Source organism: Homo sapiens, chromosome 18, assembly GCF_000001405.40.
Source record: "Homo sapiens chromosome 18, GRCh38.p14 Primary Assembly".
NCBI lineage: Eukaryota > Metazoa > Chordata > Mammalia > Primates > Hominidae > Homo > Homo sapiens.
In genome coordinates, this window is record NC_000018.10 from 58,834,498 (window position 1) to 58,858,282 (window position 23,785).

At 45.7% G+C, this 23,785-nt stretch overlaps 3 annotated features.

Annotated features, from left to right (window-relative positions):
* Window positions 11,310-12,122: an enhancer, noted in NCBI's record as "NANOG-H3K27ac-H3K4me1 hESC enhancer chr18:56513039-56513851 (GRCh37/hg19 assembly coordinates)". NCBI's record gives its function as "activates a minimal SCP1, AML or CMV promoter by ChIP-STARR-seq in naive H9 embryonic stem cells {active_cell/tissue: H9 hESC(naive)}" and the evidence as "EXISTENCE:reporter gene assay evidence [ECO:0000049][PMID:30033119]".
* Window positions 12,123-12,935: an enhancer, noted in NCBI's record as "NANOG-H3K27ac-H3K4me1 hESC enhancer chr18:56513852-56514664 (GRCh37/hg19 assembly coordinates)". NCBI's record gives its function as "activates a minimal SCP1, AML or CMV promoter by ChIP-STARR-seq in naive and primed H9 embryonic stem cells {active_cell/tissue: H9 hESC(naive and primed)}" and the evidence as "EXISTENCE:reporter gene assay evidence [ECO:0000049][PMID:30033119]".
* Window positions 12,936-13,748: an enhancer, noted in NCBI's record as "OCT4-NANOG-H3K27ac-H3K4me1 hESC enhancer chr18:56514665-56515477 (GRCh37/hg19 assembly coordinates)". NCBI's record gives its function as "activates a minimal SCP1, AML or CMV promoter by ChIP-STARR-seq in naive and primed H9 embryonic stem cells {active_cell/tissue: H9 hESC(naive and primed)}" and the evidence as "EXISTENCE:reporter gene assay evidence [ECO:0000049][PMID:30033119]".

Genomic DNA, 23,785 nt, shown 5'->3' on the forward strand with positions numbered 1-23,785 from the left:
TTAAATCAGGTTACAAGGGTGGGGCTTAAGGCAATAAGACTGGTGTGCTGAAAAAACGGGGAAGAGGCTGGCCGCAGTGCCTCATGGCTGTAATCTCAGCACTTTGGGAATCTAAGGCAGGGGTTTGAGACCAGACTGGGCAACATGGTGAAACCCTGTCTCTACAAAAAATTTAAAAATTAGTGTAGGGGGGTGCCAGGCGTGGTGGCTCATGCCTGTAATCCCAGCACTTTGGGAATCCAAGGCGGGTGGATCACCTGAGGTCAGGAGTTCGAGACCGACATGGCAAAACCCCGTCTCCACTAAAAATACAAAAATAAGCAGGGCACAGTGGCACACGCTTGTAATCCCAGCTACTTGGGAGGCTGAGGTGGGAAGATTGCTTGAGTCCAGGAGTTTGAGGTTACAGTGAGCCATGATTGGGCCACAACAGTCTAGTCTGGCAACAGAGTGAGACACCATTTATAAAAAAGAATAATAAAATTTTGAAAATAATATAAGAACAAAATATTAATAATTCCACCAGTGTCAGAAGATAGAGGCCTAGGCCTCTCAACTTCCAACCCAAGATCTTTCCAGCAGCCCAATCTGCTTCCTTGAAGGTGTAAAGATAGGCCTCCCACCGTCCCAAATCCGTATCCTGTCATTTAGATGTTTAGGGGCTTATGATAGCACTCCTATGTGTAGGCATGAACACAAACACATGCTTAATTTTGGACTATTATTCATCAGAAAAATAGTTTTTTCACATAAATAATTGTAATCAAGGTGTGTTTGAAAGTCAAAAAAATTTGTCAAAATAAATGGAAAAGAAACCATGGGGGAAATCACAAGAAGATACCACTTCATACCCACTAGGGTGACTATAATTTTTTAAAATGGGAAATAAGTGTTATTGAGCATGTGGAAAAATCAGAGCCCTCAGACATTGCTGGTAGGAATGAAAAATGCTGCAGCCACTGTGGAAAACAGTATGGCAGTTCCTCAAAAAGTTAAACATAGAGTTGCCATGAACCAGTGGTTCCACTCCCAGGTATATACCCCAAAGAACTGATAACAGAAACTCAAACAATTATTTTACATGAATGTTCACAGCGTTATTTACAGTGGCCAAAAGGCAAAAACAACCCAAATATCCATCAACTGTTGACTTACTGGATAATCACAATGTGATATATCCATACAATGGAATATTACTTACCTACAAAAAGCTACAAAGCGCCGGGCGCAGTGGCTCACACCTGTAATCCTAGCATTTTGGGAGGCTGAAGCGAGCAGATCACAAGGTCAGGAGTTCGAGACCAGCCTGACCAACATAGTGAAACCCTGTCTCTACTAAAAATAAAAAAATTAGTTGGGCATGGTAGCGCGCCTGTAGTCCCAGCTACTCGGGAGGCTGAGGCAGGAGATTTGCTTGAACCCGGGAGGTGGAGGTTGTGGTAAGCCAAGATCGTACCACTGCACTCCAGCCTGGGCAAAAGAGTGAGACTCCATCTCAAAAAAAAAAAAAAAAAAGATACAAAGAGGCCAGCATGTTGGCTTACGCCTGTAATCCCAGCACTTTGGTAGGCCAAGGTGGGTGGATAACTTGAGGTCAGGAGTTCGAGACCAGCCTGGCCAATGTGGTAAAACCCCGTCTCCACTAAAAATATAAAAATTAGCCGGGCGTGGTGGCACATGCCTGTAATCCCAGCTACTCCGGTGGCTGAGGCAGGAGAATTGCTTGAGCCAGGGAGGTGGTGGTTGCAGTGAGCCAAGAGCGTGCCACTGCACTCCAGTCTGGGCGACAGAGTGAGACTTCATCTAAAAACAAACAAACAAACAAAAAAAAAAAAACAAGTAAAAAAAAAACCTACAAACTGATTCATGTTACAATGTGGATCAACCTTGAAAATATACTAAATGAAAGAATACAGGTACAAAGGTCACATGTCATATGATTCCATTTATATGAAATGTCTAGAATAGGCAAATCCCTAGAGATAAAAAGAAGATTGATGATACAGAGTTTCAGTTTTGCAAGATGAAAAAGTTCTGGAGATTTTGGGCCAAGTGAGGTGGCTCCTGCCTGTAATTCCAGCACTTTGGGAGGCCAAGGAGAGCAGATTGCTTGAGCTCAGGCATTCAAGACCAGCCTGGGCATCATAGCAAGACCCCATTTCTATTAAAAATAATAATTTTAAACAAGTCCTGGAGATCTGTTTGACAACAATATGAACATACTTAATATATTTAACACTTGGTTAAGATGGTAAATTTTGTTGTGTTTTTTCATCACAATGTTTTTAAAAGGTATGAGACCTAGACTTTGCCCTCTGTGTGGCCCTAATTTCTTGGGGGTAAATGGCAAGTAATTTAGTACTATTTACAAACTATTTTCATATACATGATATATCAGGTGCTCCAGGCAGTCCATGAGATAGATAGAATAATCCCTCTATATCCATGGGGGTTGGTTCCAGGACCCCCTGAGGATACCAAAATTCACAGAGGCTCAAGTCCTTTAAATAAAATGGCATAGGACGGGTGTGGTAGCTCATGCCTGTAATCCCAGCATTTTGGGAGGCCGAGGCGGGCAAATCACCTGAGGTCAGGAGTTTGAGACCAGCATGGCCAACATAGTGAAACCCTGTCTCTACAAAAAATACAAAAAAATTAGCTGGGCCTGGTGGCACGTGCCTGTAGTCCCAGCTATTCGGGAGGCTGAGGCAGGAGAATTGCTTGAAACTGGGAGGCAGAGATTGCAGTGAGCCGAGATCGTGTCACTGCACTCCAGCCTGAGTGACAGAATGAGACTCCATCTCAAAAAAAAAAAAAAAAAGCATAGTACTTTGTATATAACATATGCATATCCTCCCCTATACTTTAAATCATCTCTAGATTACTTATAATATTTAATACAATGTAAATGCTATATAAATAGTCATTATATTGCATTGTTTAGAGAATGAGGACAAGGAAAAAAAGTCTCTGTTCAGTACAGACACAACCATCCTTTTCTTTTTTTCTGAAAAAAAAATTTTTTTTTTTTGAGACAGAGTTTCACTCTTGTTGCCCAGGCTGGAGTGCAGTGGCGTGATCTTAGCTTACTGTAACCTCTGCCTCCCAGGTTCAAGGGATTCTTCCACCTCAGCCTCCTGACTAGCTGGGATTACAGGCACCTGCCACCACGCCTGGCTAGTTTTTGTATTTTTAATAGAGATGGGGTTTCACCATGTTGGCCAGGCTGGTTTCAAACTCCTGACCTCAGGTGATCCACCCACCTCGGCCTCCCAAAGTGCTAGGATTACAGGCGTGAGCCTCTGTGCCCGGCCTTCTGAATATTTTTAATCCACAGTTGGTTAAATTCGCAGATAAGGAACCCATAGTTACAGAGGGTTAATATCATCAAACACTTGTTTTTTTTTTTTTTTTTTTTGAGACTGAGTCTCCCTCTGTCGCCCAGGCTAAAGTGCAGTGGCATGATCTTGGTTCACTGCAAGCTTCGCCTCCCAGGTTCAAGCCATTCTCCTGCCTCAGCCTCCTGAGTAGCTGGGACTACAGGCGAGCACCGCCACACCCAGCTAATTTTTGTATTTTTAGTAGAGATACAGTTTCACCATGTTGGTCAGGCTGGTCTCAAAATCCTGACCTCAGGTGATCTGCCTGCCTTGGCCTCCCAAAGTGCTGGGATTACAGATGGAGCCACCGTGCCTGGCCTCATCACACACATTTGCATGAACTGAGGCTGGGATTCAAAGCTGGATCTTCCTGGTGCTCTGTACAATCCAGAATGTGACCTTGCCCTCCTGGACAGGGCTGTGTACATTCCATGTGTTCTGATGGGCTTTGGTCCCAGAGGGGTGACTTTATTTCCATATGACTGACAGTCTCAGGAGGACTCCCAGAATTGGCCACAAGCTGCTGCCCTGGGACATACCTCTCCTGAGACTGGGGCGGCCCTGAGGGAGTCCACAGCTTCTGAAAGCTTCCCCTTTCCCAGACAGCCTTTGGGCTAGCACTGTGCCCAGGGGCTAACTGCGCTGTCTTTGTGGCACCCCTCTCTCCTGCCCGGTGTAGGCAAGGACCTAGCAAAAAGAGCTCTTCCAGGCAAGAATCAGCCAACACCATTGGATGGCCCAGTAGCAGTTGTCCCAGTAGCAATTCTTGGCAGCAAGAGATGGGGAAAGAAAGGAGTCCAGGGACAATACGTTAAATAAAGATATCACTTCTGCATTTAAATAGGATGCTAATGAAGCCCATGGGCCAGACTCCAATTTCTGCAGTTTGGAGGATCTTTGTTCTGAGTGCTTAAATGGTGGTGTTTGTGGGCTATTAATGTAAACTGGTTCAGAGTTGAATGTCTACATGTTTTGAGAGAGAGGCCTCAGCTTGGGCACCAGAGCTCCAAGACCCCCATTTCTCAACTAACCACTGCCTCTTCCTCACTGCTGCTGCCCCCAAGCTGAAAAGGGTCCTTTCCCTTTAGCTTATATTGGAGAAATGCAGGTGGGCCAACCATTCAGAGTACTTAGATCAGCAGTCCCATCAGAACCACACAGGGCCAGGGGAGAGTGTTTCCCAACAAAAGGAGGGGCTGTTGAGACAATAGCACCGTCTTCTTCCAGACCATCCCCCCTCCACCTGAGTCCTCATGGAGACTACGCTCCAGCCACGATACCTACAGTAAACCTTTTATTCAAGAGTCTGAACTCAGAAGCATCCAAACAATGGATCTATTCTTTTTTTTTTTTTTTTTTTTGAGACTGAGTCTCAGTCTGTCACCCAGGCTGGAGTGCAGTGGCATGATCTCGGCTCACTGCAACCTCCGCCTCCCGGGTTCATTGGATTCTTCTGCCTCAGCCTCCTGAGTAGCTGAGTAGCTGGTACTACAGGCGTGCACCACCATGCCCTGCTAATTTTGTATCGAGCTCACTGTAGCCTTGACCTCCTGGGCTCAGGGGATCCTTCCACTTCAGTCTCATGATTAGCTAGGACTGTAGGAGTGCACTGCCATCCCCTGCTGATGTTTTCTTTTTTGTAGAGACAGGGTCCCACTATGTTGCTCAAACTGGTCTTTAACTCCTGGGCTCAAGAGATCCTCTAGCCTTAGCCTCCCAAAGTGCTGGGACTGTGGGCGTGAGTCACTGTGCCCAGCCATGATTCATTTTCTAAATAATACATGAGCATTCCAGTTGCTCCACATCCTCTCCAATATTTGGTGTTGTCAGCCTTTTAAATGTTAGCCATCTCTGGCCGGGCGCAGTGGCTCACGCCTGTAATCCCAGCACTTTGGGAGGCTGAGGCGGGTGGATCACGAGGTCAGGAGATTGAGACCATCCTAGCTAACACAGTGACACCCTGTCTCTACTAAAAATACAAAAAAAAAAAAGTGTTAGCCATCTGGTGGATGTAAAATGGTATCTTCTATGATTTTAATTCGCATCTCCCTGATGACGTATCATGATGGACACTTTTTCATGCGCTTATCAGCCATTTGGGTTTCGTTTACTGTCTGTGTGGGAACAGCCAGTATATGCAGTCAGTGTTTGGAGAACCATCTCATCAGCAAAGCCTGTGATGTGAAGAAGAAAAAAACTTTTTTTTTCTTTGAGACAGAGTCTTGCTCTGTCGCCCAGGCTGGCGTGCAATGGCATGCTCTCAGCTCACTGTAACCTCTGCCTCCTGGGTTCAAGCGATTCTCCTGCCTCAGCCTCCCGAGTAGCTGGGACTACAGGTGTGCACCATGATGCTGGCTAAGTTTTGCATTTTTAGTAGAGACAGGGTTTCACAAGGTTGGCCAGGCTGGTCTCTAACTCTTGACCTCAAGTGATCCACCCGCCTCGGCCTCCCAAAGTGCCGGGATTACAGGCGTGAGCCACCGCACCCGGCCAAACTACTTTGTTAATCCACTGAAATGTGGTCCTGTTTCAAGAGTTAGAGCATTAAGTACCCTGATTAAATATAATCCCCTCAACTCTTTCTTTTCTCAGCATTTAGTTTGCCTTTGCACATCACTAGTAGGCCTTTTGTTTTCACCTCTTAGATCCAATGCACTTTCTTTCTCCCAAATCTGGGGAGAAAATGTGTTTTAAAAAAACTCATAAGAGGCCAGGCGCAGTGGCCCACACCTGTTATCCTAGCACTTTGGGAGGCCAAGGCAGACGGATCACCTGTGGTCAGGATTTTGAGACCAGCCTGGACAACATGGCAAAACCCCGTCTCTGCTAAAAATACAAAAAAAATTAGCTGGGTGTGGTGACAGAGTGAGACCCTATAAGAAAACAAAAAACAAAAACAACCAACCAAACAAAAAAATCCTCTACTGCTCAGGTCATTGGAACATTTATTCTGTTTTATGGAATGAAGTGTTACCCGATTCTAGAATTGTAAATAAAGCCAATTAAGATCTTTCAAACTAAGTTTGTTGTAATTTTGTCATTTGACAAATGTAATGGTTATATCCTCAAAAGACAGACAGGAGTCAGGGACTGGCCAGGAAACTAAAAGTTTAAGCCTGGATTCAGATTATAGGGACCAAGGGAAACTTCCCTTTCACCCTCTGAAGGCTCGCTGAAAAATCAGCTCCCAAGAGGCAGATTAATTGGAGAAAAGGCATACACATTTTATGAACTATACACGAGGAGAAGCACAGAGTGACTGCCCAGGCCCCAGAGTGGTTCGGAAGCTTATACTCTATCCTGGCAAAACAGTTTATGGGAAGGGGGAGGAAGACGAATTCTGTTGAGGGGTTACTAGGAAGGATGAATGGATCAGGGAACAGAGATTAATTTGTACAGTATTTTGTGAAAGTTTCTGTTGGTGTGGCTGGATTCTTGGTCTTACAAGAAGGGGAAGAAAAAGCAATTGTTTATTTTGATGGGTCTGGTTCTTAGGCAGATAAAGGTTTTGGGAGAGATGTTGAGGGGGGATATCAGAAAGACCTTGAGGCTTCTTCAGTTCAGCATGTCAAAGCACCACATTTGGGTGTATTGGTCTCTTTCTTTTCTTTCTTATTTTTTTTTTTTAGACAGCCTGGCTGTCTCGTATTTTTAAAGTACTTTTAAAAAAGGAATTTTTTGGTGGGGTGAGATGTTTTGCTGGAGTGCAGTGGCATGATCACAGCTCACTGTAGGTTGGAACTCCTGGGCTCAAGTGATCCTCAGCCTCCAGAGTAGCTGGGTCTATGGGCTTGCGCCACTGCACCTGGCTACATTTTTGTATTTTTAATAGAGATAGGGTTTCTCCATGTTGGCAAGGCTGGTCTAGAACTCCTGGCCTCAAGTGATCTGCCCACCTCAGCCTCCCAAAGTGCTGGGACTACAGGCATGCGGCGCCACACCCAGCTAATTAAAAAAAAAATTTGTAGAGACGAGGCCTCATTATGTTTCCCAGGCTTTAGGTTCAAGAGATCCTCCCACCTCAGCTTCCCAGTTAGTTAAGACTACAGGTGCGCACCACCACGCCTGGCTAAGTTTTTATTTTTGTAGAGATGGGGTCTCACTATCTTGCTCAGGCTGGTCTCAAACTCCTGGCTTCAAGCAATCCTCCCTCCTTGGCTTCCTAAAGTACTGGAATTGCAGGCATGAGCCACTGTGCCCAGCCGGGTCTTGGTTTCTGAGCCTCATCAAGATGATAATCGTGAACAACTAAGACTTCATGAAGGCAAAGTCAACAGGACTTAGAGATTAAGCTAATGTAGAGAATGAGGAAAAATAAAGACAAAAATGACACCGAGGTTTTGAACTCAATGATTAGGTGAAGTTAACAGCCCTTCCTTCCAAAGGAAGATCTGATTTGAGGGAAGGTAATTTATGGGTTGGACATGCTGGTGGGATATCCAAATGAAAATTGCCAGCAGACAACTAGAAATGTGGGACTGACGTGTGCTGTGTCTCATCTTCCATTTCTTCATTCCTGCTTTTGAATAAAACTAATCTGACTAATCAGTTTGAACTAAGTATATTAAGAAATGATAAGCCCGGCGCGGTGGCAGCTCACACCTGTGATCTCAGCACTTTGGGAGGCCGAGGCGGGTGGATCACCTGAGGTCAGGAGTTTGAGACCAGCTGGCCAAAATAGTGAAACCCTGTCTCTACTAAACATACAAAAATTAGCCGGGCATGGTGGTGGGCACCTGTAATCCCAGCTACTTGGGAAGCTGAGGCAGGAGAATTGCTTGAACCAGGGAGGCGGAGGTCGCAGTGAGCTGGGGTCACGCCACTGCACTCCAGCCTGGGCGACAGAGTGAGACTCTATCTAAAAAATAAAAAAAGCTCTATGTCCAAATATAATCACATTGAGGGCTAGGTCTTCAAGAAGATATGAATTTGGGAGGCAGATACAGTTCATCTCACAGCATAACATTTGTTTGTCAAAACTCATAGAACTATACACCAAAAAAGGGTGAATTTTTAAGCTGTATATAAATTATACCTCAATAAACATAATTTGAAAAGTAAAAAGAGGCCTGGTGCAGTGGTTCATGCCTATGATCCCAGCATTTTGGGAGGCCGAGGCGGAAGGATCACTTGAGCCCAGGAGTTCAAGACCAGCCTGGGCAACCTAAGGAGACCTCATCTGTATTGCAATAAAAATAATCAGAAAAAAAATGGAAAGTGACAAAAATGGTGAAGGGGGAGTAAATCCTGAGAAGACAAGAAGCCAGACAGTGCTGAGCTGACCCTGGACTTCCAAGCATGCCTTCCACATGGAGCGGGCTCTGGCCCTGCCCTTTTGTGTAGGGATTTCATCCTATACAGTTCACTGGTAAAATTAACTAGATTGGGCTTCTTTCTAGAATGAGTTGCATGGATGTTTTTAGGCTTGAGGTGAGAAATCGAAATAGAGAAATTCAGATGGGTGGAATTACCTAACACTATCAAAAATCCTAGCTCCCACGCTGTTAATCCGGGTGACAGTCATAGGCTTTAGTGTCACCAGCTTCAAAATAGCTCGGGTCAGCGTTGCCTGGGAGCTGCTGATTCAGGGCTGCCTGCGCAACTGTCGAGGTCTCCAGGAGCTCTGTTGTGCAGAGGTATTCCAAACCCTCGGAACTGTCCTTGGCTGAACTGCCTACTCCCCCAGGCCTTCTGAGCTCTATTTGAAGAGCTTGCAATTTAAAGAAGTGAAGAACCAGCAAATACATAGGGGTGAAAATGAAAAACATTTTCTCCAGGGTTAAGCTAAGTCCTGGGGTTAAGACTTGTTAGTGGAGCCCACCTGCTATCCTTTTAAATAGATAAAAGACTTTTCAGTCTCTTACCGTGAAAAACTACATCCACTCCCCCGCCCCTGCCACTCTCCCACACCCTGCTTCCCCCACCCCCAAAACCCTATAATTAAAAAGGCTCTTTTCAGACTGGAACACAATTCAAGCACAATCATTATGAAAACCCTGCCCTGTTTCAGTGGTTACTGACAACTCCCTTTGTGTAAATCTCATTAAATCAAACCAGGGACTCTTATGTTTTTGTGTGTGACAATTTCTAGGAAGAGAAAGCTATGTGGATTTAAGAAATAATGTTGCAAATCTTAGGTATGAGACTTCTTTGGATTAGAAAGTAATATTATTTATCTCTCTGAAGCCACTAACAAATCAACCATTAAAAATGGGTTATTGTCACCCAGCATCCTTTCTCTACCCTGGTCGTGTTCTCTATGTTTAATAGGAAGGGGAAACAGAGTGCTTTCCTTGATGGGCTATTTTATTTTCAGGCCTTTAAGAAGACAAATGAATGTACTAAAAATATTGCCTTAGAAAGTATTTTCAATTCATTTTCATGCTATACATGTTTGGTACTTACGAGCTATTTGCTTCTATTTGATAAGAAAAATGATTCTTCTTCAAAACATACACAACAATGGGTTTTCTTTACACCCTGAAAAGCTTGAAAAGTAAAATGATTCTTATATCAAATTAAAGACAACAGTGAGATTCCCCTGAACCTTACAGAATAGCCTACAACATAGACTACTTACACATTTTTTCTGGGCATTGAAGTTGTGGTAGCTGTTAATTATCTTTTCTTTTCCTTTTAATATTGTTATTTCTTTTTTCTTTTTTCTCTTTTCTTTTTTTTTGAGACAGAGTCTTGCTCTGCAACCTCTGCATCCCAGGTTCAAGCGATTCTCCTGCCTCAGCCTCTCGAGTAGCTGGGATTACAGGTGTGTGCCAACACACCCGGATAATTTTTGTATTTTTAGTAAAGACAGGGTTTCGCCATGTTGGCCAGGCTGGTCTCGAACTCCTGACCTCAAATGATCTGCCCACCTCAGCCTCTCAAAGTGCTGGGATTACAGGAGTGAGCTACTGTGCCTGGGCAAATTTTGTTATTTCTATTCCCATTCCAGAATTTGCAAAGTTCTTAACTGTAAAAAGGTTCCTCTTCTTTTGTATCTTTTTCCATCAGTGGATATAAATGGCTTTGACACTTCCTTACCATCAAATGTCTAAATAGACTCCACTGGGCGTAACTGGGTACTACCAAAAAAGGGCACTTGTATGACCCCGTGTTCTGGTTTCTTGAGCTTATAAATGCATGTGCCTTTCTTTGTTTTCTTTGGCTTTTTCTTGCCACTGTGCTAAGTCCTAGTGACTGGAACAAGCTCCTAGAGGGGTTCATTTAAAGGATTAATGTCTGCTTACTCACACGTCTTATGGGGATCTTCCTCATACCTTGCCTCACCCAAATGCATGCTGATTTTCTAACTTTCCACATGGTTCTGCCGTCAATAACAAATCTTCAAGTTAAAAAAGAGGGGTACAACCAGGATGAGAAGAGGTGCATAGCTAGAATGGAGCATCTGAATGCCACACAGCCCAGAGGTGCTCCCCTCTCCACATCTCCAGGCTTCTCCTGGTGCCTGCTCTCCAACCCCCCATGTTCTCCCAGGGCTTCTGCCTTGTACTTCTATTTGCGTGGATTTCATTCCGCTATTGATTTTTTTTTTTTTTTTTGAGGCAGAGTCTCGCTCTGTCGCCCAGACTGGACTACAATGGTGTGATCGCTGCTCTCTGCAACCACTGCCTCTGGGGTTCAAGCGATTCTCCTGCTTCAGCCTCCCAAGTAGCTGGGACTACAGGCATGTGCCACCATGCCCAGCTAATTTTTGTATTTTCAGTAGAGACAGGGGTTTCACCATGTTGGCCAGGCTGGTCTTGAACTGCTGACCTCAAGTGATCTGCTCATCTCAGCCTCGCAAAGTGTTGGGATTACAGGCGTGAGCCACCGCGCCTGGCCTTATTCCACATATTGTTGCAGAGCGTATCTCCCTTGTCTTTATCCTGCACCAGACTATAAGGTGTCATCCTTCTGGGTGCTCCCCCGGCCCCAGCACACTGCTCTGGCCACAATGCCCATGCGATGAAGAGAATCTTTTAGTATCAAGGAAGTATTGATGCCGGAGAATCTGCAGCTGTTGAGCCATGGTCAGATACACTTTGCAGAAAAAAAAAAATCACCTTCTGGTAGAATAATCTTCCAAGAGAGATAAATACATCAAGCATTAGATCAGAACCAGAAATATCTTTACCCTGAATGAGATCTTGAAGACCTAGGAAAACCTTAGGAGGCTTAGGAGTGGAGAAAAAAAGAGTCTCAGACAAAGGGAGGAGGAAGGAGAGGGCAAAAGGGTGCAGGATTACAGGGCCACACCCTCGTGAGATTGCGTAGTGATTAGCCCAGTGATGATGAATATTTATGCAGACAATACTGATTATTTTACAAGGATTCATTTGAATAATCATGAATATGTTTCCATGCATTTGCACCTAATGGGATGGTTTGCAGTCTTTAATGAGGCATTGGCGCGTGTTTGAAGAGCAAGGGAGGGCAGAGAGATGGGAAAGAACAATGCAGGTCACAACGTTCATGCAGCATTTTCTTACTGTACTGACCTCTTGTCCCTGAAGTCCTGTCTGTAAAGAACGAGGTGGGAAATGTCTAAAGCATGCCTCGGGGTGCCTATCCGTGCATAGGCTAAAATGCTTTGCTGTTTCTTCTAAGCCTACTCTGCTCTTGAAGAGAGGGAAAACCTTGACGCTTTCTTTGACCTCTCAGGCCCTCCAGTTTCAGGAATTTTGCAAGGTCACATGGCTATACAATGGCAAAACCTTTTCCGCTGGGCGCGGTGGCTCAGGCCTGTAATCCCAGCACTTTGGGAGGCCGAAGCAGGCGGATCACGAGGTGAGGAGATCGAGACCATCCTGGCTAACAGTGAAACTCCGTCTCTACTAAAAATACAAAAAAAAATTAGCTGGGCGTGGTGGCAGGCGCCTGTAGTCCCAGCTACTCGGGAGGCTGAGGCAGGAGAATGGCGTGAACCCGGGAGGCGGAGCTTTCAGTGAGCCGAGATCGCACCACTGCACTCCAGCCTGGGCGACAGAGCAAGATTCCGTCTCAAAAAACAAACAAACAAACAAAACTTTTTCCAAGGTCACATGGCTATACATTGGCAGATCCATGCCTTCAGATCCCTGTCTCTTCCAAGCACCTGGGGTGAAGTGCCACCTTTGCCAGGGTCAGTGCTGGGTTGCGGGATTGTCCTACCCTAATTACTAATGGGCTGCTCCTTTCACTGGCAAAATTGTAACAGGGTTTTAAGTAATCTGTTTTGTTCAATGGTTTGAGGAGAGCAACCGTTTGTTTCTTTTCCCTTCAGTCCCTTGCAAGATGTTAGTTTTTAAGGGAGAACTGGCAGGACGGCAGGGTTGGGGGAGCAGGAAAGGCCTGGAGGGACAGGAGCATCTCTGTGACTTGCGGAGTAGCTCAGCGGGCGGGAGGAGCTGGGGCCGCAGGAGGACTCCCGAAGTGGATTAGTTTCAACCTTCACATACTGAGATGACTTGCATCGCAAGGAAGGCGGACCTGAAATCAGCCCGCAAAAGGCAGGGGCCTACACCGCAAGGCCCATTTAGTTAATTTCTACCAAGAGTCCCAAGCATGCTCGTATGGGCGGGACAGGCAAGGGGTGGCCAGCTGATCCCGCACCTGGAGCTGGGCCATTCCAGCTCTTCCCTTTCCGGTCTGCAATTTGACCTTGGACGTGCCTTCTAGCTCTGCAAGCTTCCCCAGTTGGAGACTGGGCTGTGTGAGGCCGAAATGCAACTTAGGCTGTAGGCAAGTGCCTAGCCGGGGTGCAGACAAACACAAGGGAGCTATTATTAGGCAGTTTCTGTCGGCGGAAGCGGAATTGCAATCGGGTCGCCAGCTCCGCGGGAGAGGGAGCGGGGGCGGTAGGCGGCGGTTCAGCTGGCGGCTGCGTCCTTCCCCACGCGGGGATACACCTGCCACATCAGCTGGCACCTCCCGCGGGGAAAGGTTCTGGGTTCCTCACGGTCAAAGCAGGATTCCGACTGTAGTGTATTTTCCCAGGTTCTAAACTCACCGACCCCCCCTTGTGATTGACACATTCTTTCTTTAGATATGCTAATACCTTCAATTAGATTACTGTCTAGGCTTGCCTTGGCCGGCAGGCTTTGTCTCCTAAGGGGACTTTGCCCATCTCAGGCCTTTTACATTAGATTTTTTAATAGTTCACCTCTAAGGAGGCACATAACCTTAATTCTTCAGTGGTATCTTAATCCGGATATTCCCAACCCCGACCTCGGTGCATCCATTCGCGTGTTCATTCAACAAAGGCTTCCTACTGTGACCTTAGGCTTTTTTTTTTTTTTTTTTTTTTTGAGACGGAGTATCAGTCTGTCACCCAGGCTGGAGGGCAACCTCCGCCTCCTGGATTCAAGCAATTCTGTCTCAGCCTCCTGAGTAGCTGGAACTTCAGACACACGCCACCACGCCTGGCTAATTTTGTATTTTTGGTAGAGACAGGGTTTCACCATGATGGCCAGGCTGGTCTCAAACTCCTAACCCTGGGTGATCCACCCGCCTTGGCCTCCCAAAGTGATGGGATTACAGTTGTGAGCCACCGCGCCTGGCCCAGCTAATTTTTTTACACAGAAGAACCTCCATCTAATTTTCCGAATCTATGAACTGGGTTTTTCGGTGTCTCGTTATGAAGATGAAATAAAGTAATCCTTGAAGAAGGATTAAATGAGAAAAGCTTGAGTACCATAGTGTATGGTGTCTAGCAGGCACTCGATAAATGTGTTCAGTGGGTGAATGAATAAACTTTACCTGTGATTCCTGTCACTCCTGCAGGGTGCCTCCGGCACTGTGCTACTCTTTGGGGAAGTAATGGTGAACCAGACACAGGAGGTCCTGCCCTCAGGGAGCCTGTAATCTACTCTGTGAGGGATAGAGACAAATAAAGCAATCCCAGGGCTGGGGGATAAATGCCAACAACTTGCGAAATTCTGAGCTGACTGGAGCTCCCATCAGGAGGACCTAACCAGTGTAGAGGTCTCCACAGCTCCCAGGAGGAAGTGGGCTCTAAGCTATAACGCAAATGGTGAGTAAGAGTTAGCCAGGCAGAGGGGGAGGATCTGAGTGATAGTTAAGGGACCGCCCTGATGCAAAGGCCTCCAGGCAAGAAAGTCTTTCTTCCAACCAAAGAGACACTGAGGAACTATAGGAATGTTGCTTGCCAGGGGATTTGGGCCAAAGAGGCTGGGGAGGTAAGCCAGGGCTGGACTTTGGAGGGCTGAGTAAATCCTAAAGTCTTAGGATTTTATCCTAAGAGCTATGGAGTGTTTAGGAGATAGGGGTCCACAGGCTCAATAAAAATTGGAATATGGGGCCAGGCATGGTGGCTCACACCTGTAATCCTAGCACTTTGGGAGGCTGAGGCGGGCGGATCACCTGAGGTCAAGAGTTCAAGACCAGCCTGGCCAACATGTTGAAATCCCGTCTCTACTAAAAATACATAAAATTCGCTGGGCGTGGTGGCGGGCGCCTGTAATCCCAGCTATTCAGGAGGCTGAGGCAGGAGAATCACTTGAACCTGGGAGGCGGAGGTGGCAGTGAGCCGAGATCATGCCATTGTATTCCAACCTGGGCAACAAGAGCAAAACTCTGTTTCAAAAAAAAAAAAAAAATTGGAATATGGTAATCCCAGCTATTCAGGTAGCTGAAGAGGGAGAATCGTTTGAGCCCAGGAGTTTGAGAGTTTGAGTCTGGCCTGGGCAACATAGTGGGACTCTAAAAAATATATATTTAAAAAAACAAAATAAAACTGGCGCCTGGAGGAAGAGGTAAAGGACTGCGATGACTCAGGGCTTTCAAGTTCAAACTCCAAATCCAGGAGTATGCAACACATCAGGGCGCCAGACTGCCTGGGATTGAGAGTGACTCCTTGCTTGAAAAAGTGACCTAACCTCATTTGCAAACTTGGCTCATCACAAGCCCCAAGTCGTAGGTTTGTGAGAGACAGTGGGTGAAATAATTACAGAATGAACTACTTACAACAGTACCTGGCATAGAGTAAGTGCTCCATAGTGTTGGCTATTATCCATTCTACTCAGTTCCCAGAAGTCACAGGTCCTGCAGACCCAGCTATTTTTATTTATTTATTTATTTGAAATGGAGTCTTGCTCTGTCACGCAAGCTGGAGTGCAGTGGCATGATCTCAGCACATTGCAACCTCTGCCTACCAGGTTCAAGTGATTCTCGAGCCTCAGCCTGCCAAGTAGCTGGGACTACAGGCGCCTGCCACCACGCCTGGCTAATTTTGGGGTTTTTTGTTTTGTTTTGTTTTGAGACGGAATCTTGCTTTTGTCGCCCAGATGGAGTGCAATGGCACAATCTTGGCTCACTGCAACCGCCGCCTCCCAGGTTCAAGCAATTCTCCTGCTTCAGCCTCCCAAGCAGCTGAGATTACAGGTGCCCACCACCACAACTGGCTAATTTTTGTATTTTTAGAGAGATGGGGTTTCACCATGTTGGCCAGGCTGGTTTCAAACTCCTGACCTCAGGTGATCCGCCTGGCCTCGGCCTCCCAAAGTGCTGGGATTACAGGCATGAGCTACCATACCTGTACCCAGCAGAGCTAGCTGTTTAAAACACCGGGGAGGAATGCAGGGGGAGGGGGAAATTTACAAACCGCAGGATGATGTAAACTCCAGGAACTGCGAACTCCTCCTTTTATAATAGTTTAGTCATGGTCCTTGCAAATTTGGTTGATTGATTTCAGTAGCTGATTAGAAAGCAGAAGCTGCCAAGCAGGTCCACTAGGAATGGCAGAAGCAGTAATTCCTTCTTCCAGGAGTACAGCTCGAGGAAAACTGTGGAAGTACCATAAGGAACAGAGGCAAGACCCCAGAAGTATAGCAAACTAGCAGATGGTGGCCATTTAGAACAGAGGGCAAGGGTCTTATGCATCCAAAGTACACTAAAGACTTCACTGTATTGTAGTACAATTATTGAGCACTTAAAGGCTCTGTTCAGATTCCAGCTTGCCCATTACAGTAGGAGGATGTTTCAGGAACTTGAGAAATAACATTATGTCGGACAATGGAATCAGACCAGGCACGGTGGCTCAAGTCTGTAATCCCAGCACTTTGGGAGGCCAAGGGGAGTGGATCGCTTGAGGCCAGGAGTTAGAGACCAGCCTGGCCAACATGACGAAACTCTGCTTCTATGAATAATACAAAAAAAAATTAGCCAGCCTTGGTGGTGTGGGCCTAGAGTCCCAGCTACTCGGGAGGCTAAGCCAGAAGAATCGCTTGAACCCAGGAGGCGGAGGTTGCAGTGAGCCAAGATCGCCTCACTGCACTCCAGCCTGGGCGACGGAGTGAAACTGTCTCAAAAAGAAAAGAAAAAAAGGCATACCTGACAATTTATTTGTATGAAGGCAGATGTTTTCTAGTGTGTTCCCTCCCTTAGTCCCCCGGGGAGTGGGGGGTGAGATTTGGGACAGGCAAAAGAAAAAGGAAATTTGGCTTCCCTCTGCATGAAAACTCTTAAAATTCAAACCTTAGCAAGAAGCATTTACTTTCTGCTGCTGGATAGAAAAGGGGTGCTTTTGGGGCTTTAACCTCCTTTCTGGCTTCCTGCCTCTGTAAAATGCCCATGAGAGGAATGCCGGGGGTCACAAGAGTTACTTAGCGAGTAAATATACATGAGTGATTGAGAGAGAATTACAAAGTCTCCTCTAAGTAATGGAGTCAAAACTAACAATACTCAGTTGTCAGAACATCTGATGGAGCTGCCCATACTATCACCCCAGACACAGCCAACTATTTTAAAGACGAGCCTTTGAGGACAATATCTGATGGATATAATTTGGTTTTCTAGCTTATGGGAACTGAGCTCAATGGACAGTAACAGTGAATGAAGTTGGAGGAAGGAAATGCAGTGATTATGGGTGGGGGATACTTGGCAAGGCAAGGAATGAATAGGGGTATGTTTAAAAAATTATTTTTACTTCCAAATTTATGGCTTAATTTTGATTTGTGTTAGGATTTGTTAGCTGTTATTTGCCCGGGGTTTGGCAGTTTGGTATGTACTGGTGGTCTTAATCTGGTATCTGGACCAGAAAACAAATGTTTGCATCCTTGGAATCCCCGTTACAATTGAAAAATTTCCGAGGAGACAGCCAAGGCCAGATGGGAATGCGGCATGGATTGCCCCGTTAGCACTTAAATCCTCTGTTGGTGCAGTCTTGCTTTGTGTTTTCTTTCTTCATTCCTTAACACTTAGCAGTGCCCAGCCTTATAAGGACCCAGAACACTAGATGTTGGGGATTAGAGCAGTGAATCCAATAGACCACACCTTTGCCACATCTGCTGAGGGCTGTTTGCATTATAATATGTAGGAAGGCATCACAGAGCAAGAGACTGACTGCCTGTGAGAGTGCAAGAGGGGACCAAACTCAGTTTGTTTTTCTTTCTTTTTTTTTTTGGAGATGGGGTTTCACTCTTGTTGCACAGGCTGGAGTGCAGTGCTGAGATCTCGGCTCACTACAACCTCCACCTCCCGGGTTCAAGCCATTCTCCTGCCTCAGCCTCCCTAGTAGCTGGGATTACAGGCATGCGTCATCACGCCTGGCTAATTTTGTATTTTTAGTAGAGACGGGGTTTCTCCATGTTGGTCAGGCTGGTCTTGAACTCCCTACCTCAGGTGATCCACCCACCTCGGCCTCCCAAAGTGCTGGGATTACAGGCATGAGCCACCGCGCCCGGTCTGTTTTTTCTTTTGAGATAGTCTCTGTTGCCCAGGCTGCAGTGCAGTGGCACGATCTCAGCTCACTGCAATCTCCACCTCCCAAGTTCCAGCGATCCTCCCACCTCAGTCTCCCAAGTAGTTGGGACTACAGGCATGCACCACCATGTCCAGCTAATTTTTGTATTTTTTTTTCTGTAGAGATGGGGTTTTACCATGTTGCCTAGGTTGGTCTCGAACTCCTGGGCTCCCCTGAAGCGGGAGAACTGCTTGAGCCCAGGAATTCAGAACCAGCCTGGGCAACATAGCAAGACCCCATCTCTACAAAAAAAATGTAAAAATCAGCTGGGCACAGTGGTGTGTGCATATAGTCCTGGTTACCCAGAAGGCTGAGGTGGGAGGATCACTTGAGCCCAGGAGTTCCAGGCTACAAAAATAAAAGAAGCCTCGCTGTGGTGGCTCACACCTGTAATCCCAACATTTTGGGAGGCCAAGGCAGGAGGATCGCCTGAGCCCAGGAGTTTGAGACAAACCTGGGCAACACAGTGAGACCCTGTCTCTCCAAAAAATTGGTTTAAATTAGCAAGGTGAAGTGATACATGCCTGTACTCCTGGCTACTCAGAAGGATGGCTTGAATCTGGGAGGTCAAGGCTACAGTGAGCTGTGATCACGCCACCCACCACACTGCTATCTGGGTGACAGAGTGAGACCCCGTCTCAGAAAGAAAGAGAGAGAGAGAGGGAGGGAGGGAGGAAGGAAGGAAGGACAGACGGAAGGAAGGAAGGAAGGAAGGCAGGCAGGCAAAAAGGAAGAAAAAAGAAGGAGGAAGGAAGAAAGGGAGGGAAGGGAAAAAGTGCATATTTGCTATTTAAAGGACAATAATAAAAAGGTGTTTTTTTTGTTTGTTTTTTGTTTTTTCTTCTGTGACGGGTTTCCTACAACAGAGACAGGGACAAACCAAGAAGTGTGGTGCCATTGAGTAACAGGCTGGTGGTGGAGGACAGAAGAGGAGGACCTACATTTTTGGACCTCCTGAGTTGGGAGTTGTGGGACACAATGCAATTCATTATGATCTGGAATTAGAGGAGAGATCCGATCTGGAAACATAGATGTGGAATCATCAGAATAGACCTGAGGCCCTGAGAGCAAATGTGTTTCTCCAAGAAATGCAGTTTTCGGAAAGATGAGGGCCAAAGATAGACCCTGGAGAACAGTCCATATTTCACAAAGGAATGCAGGAAAATTAGCCAAGGAGGAAGACTGAGAAGGAACGGCTTTATGGAAAGAGAGAAAGTTGTCTTGGAAGCTAAGGGAAGAGAATTTTAAGAATGGGCTGGTGTGCAGTGCTCCCTGCAGAATTTCCTAAGTAGGGGGAGTCTTTCAGTCTATAGAGTTATGTAGTTTCCCTGAGGGAGATAGCCAAAAAAGGGGCCAGGGGGTTATCCTATGCCCCAAGAGAAAGGGCCTCTATTCCTTTTAACTTAATTTGTATTTAAAGGATAGGTGTAGGATGGCCTAGGTAAAAGAATGGACAGACACCAGGCGTGGTGGCTTACGCTTGTAATCCCAGCACTTTGGGAGGCCGAAGCAGATGGATCACTTGAGGTTGGGAGTTTGAGACCAGCCTGACCAACATGGAAAAACCCCATCTCTACTAAAAATACAAAAATTAGCCTGGCGTGGTGGCATGCACCTGTAATCCCAGCTACTTGGGAGGCTGAAGCAGGAGAATTGCTTGAACCCGGGAGGCAGAGGTTGCAGTGAGCCGAGATCACGCCACTGCACTCCAGCCTGGGTGACAGAGTGAGACTCCATCTCAAAAAAATAAAAAATAAAAAACCCAAAAATCCCAGCTACTCGGGAGGCTGAGGTGGGAGAATCTCTTTAACCCGGAAGGCAGAGGTTGCGGTGAGCCAAGATCACGCCATTGCACTCCAGCCTGGGCAGCAAGAGCGAAACTCCATCTCAAAAAAAAAAAAAAAAAAAAAAAGGAATGGACAGATGGACAGCACCTGCAAGGGCTTATTTAATGCTTCCTTCTCAAAGTTACTTAGTATTACTATTATTATTTTTTGAAATGAAGTCTCTCTCTGTCGCCCAGGCTGGAGTGCAGTGGCGTGATCTTGGCTCACTGTAACCTCTGCCTCCCCGGTTCAAGTGATTCTCCTGCCTCAGCCTCCCAAGTAGTTGGGATTACAGGTGTGTGCCACCATGCCCGGCTAATTTTTGTATTTTTAGTAGAGACAGGGTTTTACCATGTTGGCCAGGCTGGTCTCGAACTCCTGACCTCGTGATCCACCCGCCTCGGCCTCCCAAAGTGCTGGGGTTACAGACGTGAGCCACCACACCCAGCTCAAAGTTACTAAGTTTTTTGTTTTGTTTTGAGATAGGGTCTCATTCCATAGCCCAGGTGGGTGTGCAGTGGTATGATCACAGCTCACTGCAGCCTCGACCTCCTGGGCTCAAGCGATCTTCCCACCTCGGCCTTCCGAGTAGCTGGGACCACAGGTGCACACCACCACGCCCAGCTAATTTATTTTTATTTTCTGTAGATACGGGGTCTCCCTGTGTTGCCCAGGCTGGTCTTGAACTCCTGGGCAAACGGTCCTCCCACCCACCTTGGCCTCCGAAAATGTTGGGGTTACAGGCATGAGCCACTGCACCTGGCACTACCTAGTTATATGCACAGTGCAGGGTGCCTAAGGCCTGAGGTAGCTTAATTGGTTGTAGTTTATGCTCTGATTTTTTCACAGGCTACAGTCAAGTTGACTGACTGTTATGTAGGATGCCTCGGTTGGACAAGATGGTAAAAGAGGCTCTGCCAGAAGGGGGTACCCAGGAACTCTTTTTTTTTTTGAGACAGAGTCTTGCTCTGTCGCCCAGGCTAGACTGTAGTGGCACTATCTTGGCTCACTGCAATCTCTGCTTCCCAAGTTCAGGTGATTCTCCTGCCTCAGCCTCCCCGGTAGCTGGAACTACAGGCTCCTGCCACCAAGCCCAGCTAATTTTTGTATTTTTAGTAGAGATGGAGTTTCACTATATTGGCCAGGCTGGTCTTGAACTCCTGACCTGGTGATCCGCCCGCCTCCACCCCCCAAGGTGCTGGGATTACAGGCATGAGCCACCGTGCCTGGCCCAGGAACTCTTTTTCAATGGTGCAATGTAGACTCTTGAACATTTGGTCAGAGGTTGAGACGGAAATTCCAAAAGGGTGTGGTGAGAATATACTACTTGTGCTGTTCATGTGGCCTTGTCAAACATAGCACGGGTATGATATATTTCCTTTTTTATTTTTCTTTTTTGAGATGGAATCTCGCTCTGTCACCCAGGCTGGAGTGCAGTGGCACGATCTCAGCTCACTGCAACCTCTGCCTCCTGGGTTCAAGCAATTCTCCTGCCTCAGCCTTCCAAGTAGCCGGGATTACAGTTGTGCGCCACCACACCCGGCTAATTTTTTATATTTTTAGTAGAGACGGGGTTTTACCATGTTGGCCAGGCTGGACTCGAACTCCTGACCTGAAGTGATCCACCCGCCTCGACCTCCCAAAGTGCTTGGATTACAGGCATGAGCCACTGTGCCCAGCCGATATATTTTGTTGAGTTATCTATCTGATACTTGGAATGGGTTTATTCAGGGACACATATGTTTTATTTCCCCAAGTCTAGACTGTTGGTGAAGTGACACCATAGAGTAGACGTATTTTTACAGTGCAGAGCAAATCTGAGCTTGTCCACTTACACAATTTTTCTAACCCAGTGACCTTTGTAGTCTTTGGATCACACCTCAAAATTTTTTGAGTATTCATCTCAATTATTCACTTATAATTTATAAAAACTAACTTACAGCTTAAATATAGTTAGTACTATCCTAATATGTACATTACAAAAGATATACAAAAATAGAAATTAAAAAATATTGAAATGATGGACTAAACAATACCATTAACATTTAATTTTATTTACTAGCAGTAGAAAATAATTTGCTCTTACTACAATGCTTAATATTTGAGGTATGATTGAATATGCTTCTCTTTTTTTTTTTGAAATATTGGCATAATAGTGTGATAAAATGATTTGAGGATTTTACTCTGTTTAGTTTTTTTCAAACTTGGTTGTTTAAAGGGCTGTCCTAGTGGGAGAGGATGCCTTGCAAAGTTTTCTGCCAGTAGGAAGAGACAGATTATTTTTACCATTTACTTTTTTATTTTTATTTTTTGAGACGGAGTTTTGCTCTTGTTGCCCAGGGTGGAGTGCAATGGTGCTATCTCGGCTCACTGCAACCTCTGCCTCGCTGGTCCAAGCGATTCTCCTGCCTCAGCCTCCCGAGTAGCTGGGATTACAGGCGTTGGCCACCACACCCGGGTAATTTTTGTATTTTTAGTAGAGAAAGGGTTTCACAATGTTGGCCAGGCTGGTCTTGAACTCCTGACCGCAGATGATCCACCTGCCTTGGCCTCCCAAAGTGCTAAAATTACAGGCGTGAGCCACCTCGCCCAGCCGTTTTTACTGTTTACTTAATCATAATGCTCATTGCTCAATCTCATCCTTCAGCTATGCAAAAGATTTTAGTTGACATTTGGGTGGTGAGTCGCTCTTTGCCAGTATCACTCAATTGTTTCTGCAACATAAATTGGAAAGTGTTGAATTTGCATTTTGATATTTTAACTGAATCGGTGATACATTTTGTGTGTGTTGGAATTTTCGTAATTTAACCCCAGAATTTTAAATTCCTGTATAGAAGCTACTCCATTCGTGGTTACTGTTCCTGTTCTAAATAAAATGATATAATGTTTTGATTAAAGAGATCATTTATTGTTGATAATATACCTTCTCTGCTAAACACTTTTTTTAGTGGTTCATAAAAAATAAGTGTTTTCAGGTGTGTCATCACGAGAACAGGGGCAAGCAGATACCTTAAGCAGAGGCATTCAACAGTTGCACAAACCTCCCACACTGTGTAATCTATTCTAATGTGTGTTTCTTTAAATCTACAGCAATATTTTCTTGCTTTTTTTTTTTTGAGACAGAGTCTCACTCTATTGCCCAGGCTGGAGTGCAATGGCGCAATCTCGGCTCAGTGCAAGCTCCACCTCCTGGGTTCAAGCGATTCTCCTGCCTCAGCCTCCCAAGTAGCTGGGACTACAGTCGCCTGCCACCACGCCCGGCTAATTTTTTGTATTTTTAGTAGCCAGGATGGTCTCGATCTCCTGACCTCGTGATCCGCCCTCCTCAGCCTCCCAAAGTGCTGGGATTACAAGCATGAGCCACCACACTTGGCCTACAGCAATATTTTCTAAGCATCTTCCAACTGTTTGCTGACGAATGTATTTTATGTTGCAGCCGTATTTTCTGGTTATTATTTTCATATTTTAGCATTTGTTTTTTGTTTATATATGTCAATTATTATTATTCATTTTTAAACTTTTCCAGAAATAACCAAGTTTTTCCAGAAACTTTTCCCAGTGACATGTGACTTCTAGTCTTTTGGTATTAAATAAGAAACCTCAAAAGAGACTTCAAAATAGTCATCGTTAAGTTTAGCAGAAAATGTTAAAGTATTTGATCATCTTTTATCTTTGTCATTGGAAAAAAAACCCCAAACCTTATAGGTGTTAATCCTGGTGTTCTGAGCACTTAACTTTTAGATTTTTTTTTTTTTTTGAGACAGAGTCTTGCTCTGTCGCCCAGGCTGGAGTCAAGTGGCGTGATCTCAGCTCACTGCAACCTCCACCTCCCGGGTTCA